Genomic DNA, 11,353 nt, shown 5'->3' with positions numbered 1-11,353 from the left:
AGGTCCTGAATGTGAACATCACTGGTCCTGGGCAAAATCGAGAAGTCGAGAAGGGAAACTGATATTTTTTGCCAACCATGGTGCCAGACCCTTTACGTCTTTTAATTTATTTAACAGCTCCACCAACAAGATAAAAATGCCGTTTTTATAGATAAGAAAACCGAGGCATAGTAAGGGGCAGCATTCGAGGTCTTGTGAAGGTACCTAGCAGAGCTGAGCTACAGTTCACATTGTCCTAACTGTTGAATGCTTGCCCTCCTCAATGCCGTTAGGCTGCTGTATGTGTCCACAGTCTCAGGGGTTTTGAAGACCCCAAGACAAATCTCACCCAAAAGACACAATTTATGAATGAGTGTGCTGAGGTCCCAAGATAGCAGCTTGCCCAAAGCCACACCGTTTGTTTAATGGCATAGGCCTGCTCACCACAGAACACACACACGCACGACACGCACATTACTGAAACAGTTTGCTGTCTCCTGGCCAGGGGTCCACCCCATAGCCAAGTAAGCCCAGGGGACAGAACTCTTCAGACAAAAAATCCCTTCTTCAGCAGCAGCTCCTATCTACATGACCTTTGACTTCATATTTAAGGAGAAAGGGATTTATGAACAGAAGCCATAGTCTCTGGCTTCAGCGGCAGGGAGACAAGATGGTGGATCCCCATGCCATTACCCCCAAGACCCAGGGCCTATATGCTATAGGAAAGGAATGTGACGGACATTTGAAGTCAGTCCCCCAGGGAAAGGCAAGAATGCTGTGTGAATCTGCCTAAGGGCAGGATTTATGGTAAGTACATACTTTTACACAAGGAACAATAGATAAACTGGAAATCTTAGAGGCCTTCCCTAAAAGCTGGTTAATCAGAAGTCAACTTGGTTGGCCGGGTGTGGTAGCTCACAGCCTGTAATCCCAGCATTTTGGGAGACTGAGGCAGGTGGATCACTTGAGTCCGGAAGTTCATGACCAGCCTGGCCAACAAAACACCATCTCTACTAAAAATACAAAAACTAGCTGGGCGTGGTGGCACACGCCTGTAATCCCAGCTACTCAGGTGGCTAAGGCAGGAGAATCGCTTGAACCCAGGAGGTGGAAGTTGTAGTGAGCAAAGATCACACCACTGCACTCTATCCTGGGCGACAGAGTGAGACTCTGTCTCAAAACAAAACCAAAAAACCAACAAAACACATCAACTTGGTGGATTAGCATCCAAGACGGGGTTGCTTTAGCTTGCACTGTGTGTGTGTGTGCTGGTCTCTCTCATAATCTTCCTTAAGGGAGGAATTTTATGGTTCTTGTGATATCCAATCATATTTATTTGGGAGAGGCATAGATGAATTTCCCATTTGTATAGAGGCACATGAATATCAGATATTTAATTTTTTGGATCAACCTCAGGGAATTTTTAATTATAATTTTAAATGCTCCACTGAAGTTGTAATTTGAAGAATGATAAGGGAAAGAAAGTTGGAGAAATCTCACATTCCAGTAACCACAGGCTCACTCATGGAAACTTAGTTGGGGCACAGATGAGTGGATTTAAAGTTTAAATCCACTCGTCTGAAGCCAGGTTTGCAGTGGTTCACTCCAGCACGTGGGGAGGCTGAGGTGGGAGGATCGCTTGAGGCCAGGAGTTCAAGACCAGCCTGGGCAACATAGGGAGACCCTGTCACTACAGATAATAATAATTTAAAAGACCCCAGCGAGGCATGGTGGCAAGTGCCTGAGGTCCCAGCTACTTGGGAGTCTGAGGCAGGAGGATTGCTTGAGTCCAGGGGGTTGGGGCTGCAGTGGGCTGTGATTGTGCCACTCCACTCTCCACTCCAGCCTGGGTGACAGAGTGAGACTCTGTCTTAAAATAAAATCAATCTACTCATCTGCTGTGTCTCATTACTGTAAACTAAAAATGAGGTTCTAAGCTCCCCAACTGACTAAATGGACCCCCTCTGGGCCAAAGAAAACCTAAAAAACTAAATTTCAGGCCATGAAAGGAAGGGAGGTTGGACACGCCTCCTTATACCCCCTCCCTTTTGGAGTTTAGCCACGACTGACCAGCATTAATATTCAATAGTGCACATAAGACTGACAATAAGATACCAAATTCCAGCCTGACGCTGGTATCATAGCTGTCCATTGGGTTCCCCTTGTTCATTGCCTAGACAGAGCTGATTTATCAAGACAGGGGAATTGCAATAGAGAATGGGTTTAATTCATACAGAGCCACCTGTATGGGAAACCAGAGTTTTATTATTACTCAAATCAATCTCCCTGAAAACTCAAGGATGGTGGTTTTTATGGATAATTTGGTGAGTAGGGGGTCAGAAAGTGGGGAGTGCTGATTGGTTGGGTCAGAGATGAAGTCATAGGGAGTTGACACCGTCCTCGTGTGCTGAGTCAGCACAAAACCTTGGCTTCTGCAACCCCCCTTATCTTAACTCAAGCGTTTCTTTCTACTGAGTTCAATTCTTCAGACAAAGCTTAACTCTTTCAACCAATTGCCAGTCAGAAAATCTTTGACTCCACGTAGAACCTATGAGCATCCACTGCTTCAAGATGTTCCACCTTTCCAGGCTGAACCAATGTATATGCCTTCCATGTATTGATTTATATTTTTGCCTGTCACTTCTGTCTCCCTAAAATGTATAAAACCAAGCTGTAACCCAGCCACCTTGGGCATCCTTTCTCAGGACCTCCTGAGACTGTACTCTGAGCCATGATCACTCATACTGGCTCAGAATAAACCTCTTTAAATAATTTACAGAATTTGGCTTTTTTTTTTTTTGGTCAACATTACCATTATAGCTCCTCTCTTTAATGTTTATAGAGAAGGAAAAAGAGGTTCTCTGAGATATTTAATGTTTCAACTACAAAGATTTTCTTTAATCTCCCAGGAACATAACCTTTTAGTATGAGGCTTATGATGACCACACAGCTTATAAGACATTGTATTGGTTGTCTTGAGTTAAAGAGTACGTTTGTCTTAAGCCTTTGCATTTGTTCCCCTGAGCTGCAAATGAACTCACTGGACCTGCGATACGTAATCCATCAGCTGGAAATGAAATCTCCAGACTGATGTTAATTAACCTTCCATTGTAGGCTGGACTTACTCACTTCTCCATCTGTAGAAAAATCTGAAGTCTGACAGGTCTGAATCAAGCACAGCATGAAGCTTGATTCTTTGGCAGACATCTGTATGGAATGGACAAGTAAGTGGATTTTGGAAGAGAGAGGTTTCCAGCAAGGATTTCAGGGGTTCTGCATTCTCACCTCTCAGGTCAGAGATACAGCCTTACTGTGCCAGGGGCACAGGCATGCATTTCCCAGGGACAATGGTCCTGACTCCATTCATCCCTGTCTATCCTCCTGAGAAGGAAAAATTCTTTTTATGGTGGTGCCATGGGTCTCAGGTCTCAAGGAATCATCTTGAGATTCTCCCATAACATCTCCCATCTTTTTATTTATTTATTTATTTATTTATTTATGAGACAGGGTCTTGTTCTGTCACCCAGGCTAGAGTGCAGTGGTATGATCATGGGTCATTGCAGTCTTGAATTCCTGGGCTCAAGCAACCTTCCTCCCTCAGCTTCCCAAATAGTTGGGACTACAGCTCACACCACTATGTCCAGCTAATTTAAAAAATATTTTGTAGAGATGGGGTCTTGCTATTTGCCCAGGCTGGTCTCGAACTCCTGGCATTAAGTGATACTCCCACCACATCTCTGGGGTTACAGGAATGAGCCACTGCCCCTGGCCTCTCATCTCTTTAATGGTATCCCAAAAAGGTGAAATTGGATATATGATTGATATGTTTTGGCTCTGTGTCCCCACCCAAATCTCATCTTGAATTGTACTCCCATAATTCCCACATGTTGTGGGAGGGACCCAGTGGGAGATAATTTTAATCATGGGGGTGGTTTCCCCCATAATATTCTTGTGGTAGTGAATAAGTCTTATGAGATCTGATAGTTTTATCAGGGGTTTCCACTTTTGTATCTTCCTCATTTTCTCTTGCCGCCACCATGTAAGAAGTGCCTTTTGCCTCCCGCCATGATTCTGAGGCCTCCCCAGCCATGTGGAACTGTAAGTCCAATTAAACCTCTTTTTCTTACCAGTCTCAGGTATGTCTTTATCAGCAGCATGAAAACAGACTAATACAATGATAAATAGTTTTTGTTTGGTTGGTTTTTTTTGTTTTTGTTTTTTTTGAGATGGAGTTTCGCTCTTGTTGCCCAGGCTGGAGTGCAATGGCGTGATCTTGGCTCACCGCAACCTCCCCCTCCTGGGTTCAAGTAATTCTTCTGCCTTAGCCTCCTGAGTAGGGGGGATTACAGGCATGTGCCACCACACCTGGCTAATTTTTGTATTTTTAGTAGAGATGGGGTTTCTCCATGTTGGTCAGGTTGGTCTTGAACTCCCAACCTCGGGTGATCTGCCCACCTCAGCCTCCCAAAGTGCTGGGATTACAGGCATGAGCCACCATGCCTGGCCATGTTTGGTTGGTTTTTAAAAAATTTTTATGAATACATAGTATGTGTATATATTTATGGAGTACATGATAGTATATGGTTTTCTGATGAATATCTGTTTATATTGCAGATTTAATATTCTGTATGAAAGTCTCATTCATTCACAGAACATCAACTCTTTACCAGGTAGGCTTTGATATGCCCAGCCACAGAATTAGAGGAGAATGGAGTGGGGGACTTGATGGAGCGGCCACATTACTATTATTATTTTTTTTTGGTCTACATTCCATTCCGTAGGCATCCTTGTATCTTCTGTCAATGAAAAGAATCAAACTCTGTAAAATATTTGAAGAGGTTTATTCTGAGCCAAATATGAGTGACAAATGGCCTGTGACATGGCCCTCAGGAGATTCTGAGAATATGTGCCCAAGGTGGTCAGACTACAGCTTGGTTTTATACATTTTAGGGAGACATAAGACATCAATCAATACATGTAAGATATACATTAGTTGGGTCCAGAAAGGTGGGACAACTGGAATTGGGGGCTTCCAGGTCATAGGTAGATTCAGAGATTTTCTGATTGGCAATTGGTTGAAAGAGTGATTATCTAAAAACGTGGCATCAGTGGAAAGAAATGTCTGGTTAGATAAGGGGTTGTGGAGACCAAGGTTTTATCATGCGGATGAAGCCTCCAGGTAGCAGGCTTCAGAGAGAATACGTTGTAAATATTTCTCATCAGACTTAGAGCCTATCAGTCTTAAGGTCTGTGTTGATGTTAATGCTGGTCAGCTGGACCTGAATTTCAAAAGGAAGGAAGGAATAATGAGGCATATCTGAATCCCCCTTCCTATCATGGCCTGAACTACTTTTTCAGGTTAACTTTGGAATGCCCTTGACTGAGAGGGGGAGTCCATTCAGATGGTTGGGGGGTTTAGAATTTTATTTTTGGTTTATATTTCACTACCTTTTCCCTCCTGGTGGGCAAGGACTGTGGAGTTTTGGGAAAGTACATAATCTTCTTAAGAAGCATTATTTAACCTCCCTCCCACCCAAAGGACATGGGGGTGGGGAAGCTGATTTGAATGTAAAAATGGAAAAAGGCAAGACTTCAACAAAGAGAATGTTGAGGGCTGTTTGACCTTCCCTTTCTGGACAGCATCCTTTGGCACAGTTTCAGTGCTCTTTGTCTCCTGCTGGCAGGAGGCAGACACATTTTCCCAGAGCAGCAACATCCTTTATCCACAGACCATTTCAGAAGTGCTATCTCTAAATTGTCTGCAGAGGTGGAAGGCGGTTTTGCTAAAACTGTTGACAGAGCAAAGGTGCAGCCAGATCAAAATCCTGCTACTTGAAACTCCTGGGCGGTAGTTTTTGGAGGTTAGAAGAAGACCACAGTGGGCAGAAAGTGAGATTTCATTGGAAGGAAGCATCCCTATGTTGTCAGGGCAAGACGGATGAAAACATAGTGATGGTGGAGCAGGGAGAGATTGCTCTGTTAAGAAACCCAGGCAATCTGTGGTTCCTTCATCCAATATATTTGCTGTCCTGCAGTGGTTGTTCACATTACAAATATGGCCATGTTGCCTACTGCGTATAAAATCTTCATAAGCTCTGTACCCTTGCCCACTGCCCTTGGGATAAAGCCCAGGCTCCTCAGCCTGGCACACAACATTCCTCACTATTTAGCATCCTTCTTACTGTCCCCCACCCTGCCTTTTATGGTCCAGCATCACTCAATTACTTCTAAATTACTTCCAGTTGTCTCAACCACCATGGTGACTCCTCTGGGTTGATTTACTGCCTGAAAGAATCTCCATTCATACTTGAGGTCACCTCCTCCAGGAAGCCTTCTTTGACCTTCTCTGGACTGTACTAGATGTCCCTTCTTTGTCTCTCCCACTAAAATGTGAGTTCTGTAAGGACAGGGATTGTGATGTTTAAATCTCATATCCCTCAGCACCTAGCATGGGGCCTGTTGGGTCCCCAGCACTTGTTTGAGACACAATTGGGAATTCAAGCCCTTAGTGGGCAGGCTTATGCCCAAGGGGAAGCTGAGAGGAAGGGGCTGGGTGACACTTTGAAACTCCCCAATCATGAGTCACTCTTCCTTCCCAGCAGGAGTGAGGGGAGGGGTGGAGAAAGGCTGGAAGGAAACAGGAGTATTAAGAACTCACATCCCCACCCCAACAGAATCAACTACTGCATTTATGCTTTAGAATGTGCACCACATCATTGCCAAATGAATTTCCTTTCCATGGTTTCTTTTTTATCCACTTTCTGTTTTTTTCTTTGATCGTTTGTTTTGTTTTTAAGAGAGGGGTCTCTCTATGTTGCTTAGGCTGATCTTGAACTCCTGGGCTCAAGCAATCTGCCTACCTTGGCCTTCCAAAGTGCTGGGATTGCAGGTGTGAGCTCTGCTGTTGTTGTTTTTAATTAATAATTATTTTAAATAAAAGTAATATAAATACATGGTTTAAAAAATACTAAGAGCTTATGTAGATAGGCTTATAATGAAAAGCAACAATCTTCTGTCCCAACTCTTTGTAAACCTAATGCCCCAGCCTGGAGACAATGATTTTTTACCTTTTTAGCTTTTTTCTGATAGTTTTCTTCATATCTCTACCTTTTCTTCCTCCATCCCTCCCTCCCTCTCTCCGTCCTTCCCTCCCTTCCTTTCTTCCTTCCTTCCTCCCTTCCTTCCTTCCTTCCTTCCTTCCTCCCTTCCTTCCTTCCTTCCTCCCTTCCTTCCTTCCTTCCTTCCTTCCTCCCTTCCTTCCTTCCTTCCTTCCTTCCTTCCTTCCTTCCTCCCTTCCTTCCTTCCTTCCTTCCTTCCTCCCTTCCTTCCTTCCTTTCTTCCTTTCTTCCTTCCTTCCTCCCTTCCTTTTCTTCCAAGGCAAAGTCTTGCTCTGTTGCCCAGGCTGGAGTGCAATGGCGAGATCATAGCTCACAGTCTCCAAATCCTGGGTTCAAGCGCTCCTCATGGCTTAGACTCCCAGGTAGCTAGGACTATAGGTGTGAGCCACTGAAACCACCTTTGCAAAAATTATGGCAGTGAGAAAATTATGGCAGTGGGAGAGATCTGATATAGCCAACCTCCCCACTCTTGCCTTTAGCTTTCAAGTTGCCTTAATTATTCCTGGGTTTAGGCTGAGCTAACTCTGAAAGACATTTACTTTATAGTTTAAATGATAATAGCCCTTCCCCAAACTCAACTCTCTTTGCAAAGCTAATGAAAGGCCACCAGGCTGGGGGAAGGGGAGCCTGAACTCTGCTAAGGTATAGACATAAATGATTGCCAGCCATTATTCTGGAGGTTACAAGATATGCAACTTCCCCAATTACTCCTGCGAATAACATCACTATTGTAGATTGGCCTTTTGAGATACCTTTTCAAGTTTTTTGCATGTCTGACACCCATGGCTCCACCTGGACCCCCCAGTCAATGGCTCCACTGCTCCTGTGACCCCACACAGTGCAAGAAGAGGCTTCAACTCCCTTGATTTCATCTCTGACCCAACCAATCAGCAGCAAGCACCCATTACCTAGCCAGCCCCACCCCTTTCCCCAAACTGCCTTTGAAAAACTCCTAACCTAGGAGCCTTTGATGAGATTGACTTGAGTAATGATTTTGTCTCCCAAGTGGCATGGCTGGCCTCATGTCTATTCAACTCTTTCTTCACTGCAATGCCATGATTTTTGTTTGTGCAGTGGGCAGGAGGAACCCATTGGTGGTCACACCACCACATCCAGCTAATTTTTAAATTTTTTGTAGAGACAGGGTCTTGCCACATTGCCCAGGATGATCTCAAACTCCTGGCCTCAAGAGATCCTCCTGCATCAGCCTCCCAAAATGCTGGAATTACAGGTATGAGCCATGGTGGCCAGCCTCTACTATTTCTTGATTTAGCAAACTGAGATATTTAAGGTATACAGCTGACCACGTGACCCACACCTGAAACTGATGGCTGCCCTTTGGAATAAAGTCAAACTCCTTAACAGGGCTAACCAGGCCTGCATCTTCTGACCCTTCCACCATGCTTATCTACTTTTTAATTTTATTTTGTTTTCCTTGTTCATGTACATTGTGAATTTTTACATCTTTAGAATACCCACCTCCTGGCATTTATGCCATATATATTATCCCCTCCTCTGGATTGTGGGCTGGATGTTAATGCCTTGCTTCTGTGGACTAAATTTGTCAAAAGTGATGGACTGTCACTTTCATGACATTCCAAAGACTCTGGTTTCTGTCTTGCTTGCTTGTTCTAAGAGAAGTGAGCTTCCAGGTTGTAAACTGCCCTGTGGAGAGGCCCACATAGCAAGGAACTGAATAGTAACAGCAACAGCCCACAGTGAACTGAATCCTGCCAGAAACTGAGTGAGCTTTGAAGTGGATCCACCCCCAGTCAAATCTTCCGATGAGACTGAAGCCCTTCCTGACATATTCATTGCCACTTTGTAAGAGACCTCGAGCCATAGAAGCTGGCTCAGCCCAGAATCCTGCCCCACAGAGACTGTGAGATGATAAGTATTTGTTGTCCTCCGCCACTAAATGTTGGAGTAACTTGCTATACAGCAATAGATAACTAATGTCACCATTATGCCATATAGTTTTCTATTCAGTCATAGAGTTTTCCTTTTTTTTTTTTTTTTTTCTGAGATGGAGTCTCACTCTGTCACCCAGGCTGGAGTGCAGTGGTGTGATCTCAGTTCACTGCAACTTCTGCCTCCTGGGTTCAAGTGATTCTCCAGCCTCAGCCTCCTGAGTAGCTGGGATTACAGGCGTGTGCCACCACACCTGGCTAATTTTTGTGTCTTTTTAGTACAGACTGGGTTTTGTCATGTTGGGCAGGCTGGTCTTGAACTCCTGACTTCAGGTGATCCGTCCACCTCGGCCTCCCAGAGTATTGGTATTATAGGTGTGAGCCACCATGCCCAGCCTAACAATTTAATCTTCTTAACGCCTCTTTCCTGTACCCATCAAAAACTGTGTTTACAGATTGGGCATTCCTATCACATCTGTTCCCGTGCTCATATCACCATATACAAAATATTAAACACAGGCTGGGCGCAGTGGCTCACCCCTGTAATCCCAGCACTTCGGGAGGCCAAGGTGGGCGGATCACCTGAGGTCGGGGGTTGGAGACCAGCCTGACCACCATGGAGAAACCCCGTCTCTACTAAAAATACAAAATTAGCCATGCGTGGTGGCACATGCCTGTAATCCCAGCTACTCGGGAGGCTGAGGCAGGAGAATCGCTTGAACTTGGGAGGCGGAGGTTGCGGTGAGCCGAGATCACGCCACTGCACTCCAGCCTGGGCAACAAGAGTGAAACTCCGTCTCAAAAAAAAAAAAAAAAAAAAAAAAAAAAGAACATGAGCTGCTCCGAAAACACATGTCCTCAGCACTGCATTCTGCACAATGGGACTGCTCCGAAAACGCATGTCCTCCGCGCTGTGTTCTGTACAATGGGGCTGCAAAGTGAAAATGCTTTTATTGCCTCTCTCCAGGCAAATGAGTATTGTTCTTCCAAGAGGCCATTGTTGAAGAATCTCTAGAATCCTTTGAGAATCGCCTTCCATAGATTGTTTCCACATAGTATAAGGATACTAGGCTTAGTCCTTCCATCAGTCTCATATTTTACCCTTCTCCAAACCCCATTCTCTTACTGGATGACACTTCTCTGCTCTGACTAAAACATCCTCTCCTCCGGGTGGTCTTGCATGAAGGCAAGTTTTATTCTTTGTTTTCTCTTTCTTTCTTTTTTTTTTTTTTTTGAGACAGGGTCTGGCTCTGTCATCCAGACTGGAGTACAGTGGTGCAATCTCGGCTCACTGCATCTTCCACCTCACGGGCTCAAGTGATCCTCTCATGGCAGTCTCCTGAGAAGCTGGGATTACACGTGCCTGCCACCACACCCTGCTAATTTTTAAAATTTATTTATTTATTTATTTGGAGACAGAGTCTCGCTCTGTCGCTCAGGCTGGACTACAGTGGCATGATCTCGGCTCACTGCAACCTGTGCCTCCTGGGTTCAAGCGATTCTTCTGCCTCAGCCTCCTGAGTAACTGGGATTACAGGATGTGCCACCACACCTGGCTAATTTTTGTATTTTTAGTAGAGATGGGGTTTCACCATGTTGGTCAGGCTGGTCTCGAACTTCTGACCTCGTGACCCACCCGCCTTGGCCTCCCAAAGTGCTGGGATTACAGGCGTGAGCCACCATGGCTGGCCTAATTTTTTAAACTTTTTGTAGAGATGGGGTTCCACCATGTTGCCCAGGCTGGTCTTGAACTCCTGGACTCAAGAGATCCGCCTGCCTCAGCCTCCTAAAATGCTGGAATTACAGGCATGAGCCACTGTGCCCAGCCAAGTTCTGCTCTTTCTGCTGCTTGCTGCCAGGGCTTTCTTCACTTGTCATGAAGTACTATAATCATGTAGATCTCATTTTCCCACTGATAAACTAGGAGCTCTGTGAGGGCAAAGACTTTGCCTCGCTTACTGCTGTGTCCCTGGGAACTGGTCTCAGCAGTAAGCACCGATAGATAATTGTGAAAAGAGGCTGGGCGTGGTGGCTCATGCCTGTAATTCCAGCACTTTGGGAGGCTGAGGCGGGCGGATCACGAGGTAAGGAGATCGAGACTATCCTGGCTAACACGGTGAAACCCCGTCTCTACTGAAAATACAAAAAATTACCCGGGCATGGTGGCGGGCGCTTGTAGTCCCAGCTACTTGGGAAGCTGAGGCAGGAGAATGGCGTGAACCCGGGAGGCGGAGCTTGCAGTGAGCTGAGATCATGCCATTGCACTCCAGCCTGGGCGACAGAGTGAGACTCCGTCTCAAAAAAATAATAATAATTAAAAAAAAAATTGTGAAAAGAACGTATAGG

The 11,353-nt window shown here is 45.1% G+C and overlaps 2 annotated features.

The window, feature by feature from the left end:
• Positions 6,401-6,695: an enhancer, noted in NCBI's record as "tiled region #8954; HepG2 Activating non-DNase unmatched - State 24:Quies, and K562 Activating non-DNase unmatched - State 21:Repr". NCBI's record gives its function as "activates a minimal TATA promoter and a strong SV40 promoter by Sharpr-MPRA in HepG2 and K562 cells {active_cell/tissue: HepG2 | K562}" and the evidence as "EXISTENCE:reporter gene assay evidence [ECO:0000049][PMID:27701403]".
• Positions 7,745-8,279: an enhancer, noted in NCBI's record as "OCT4-NANOG-H3K27ac-H3K4me1 hESC enhancer chr1:20951525-20952059 (GRCh37/hg19 assembly coordinates)". NCBI's record gives its function as "activates a minimal SCP1, AML or CMV promoter by ChIP-STARR-seq in naive H9 embryonic stem cells {active_cell/tissue: H9 hESC(naive)}" and the evidence as "EXISTENCE:reporter gene assay evidence [ECO:0000049][PMID:30033119]".

Source organism: Homo sapiens, chromosome 1 (assembly GCF_000001405.40).
Source record: "Homo sapiens chromosome 1, GRCh38.p14 Primary Assembly".
Taxonomy (NCBI): Eukaryota; Metazoa; Chordata; class Mammalia; order Primates; family Hominidae; genus Homo; species Homo sapiens.
The sequence above is the reverse complement of the archived record's forward strand: the minus strand, read 5'-3'. Positions and strand labels throughout refer to the sequence as shown.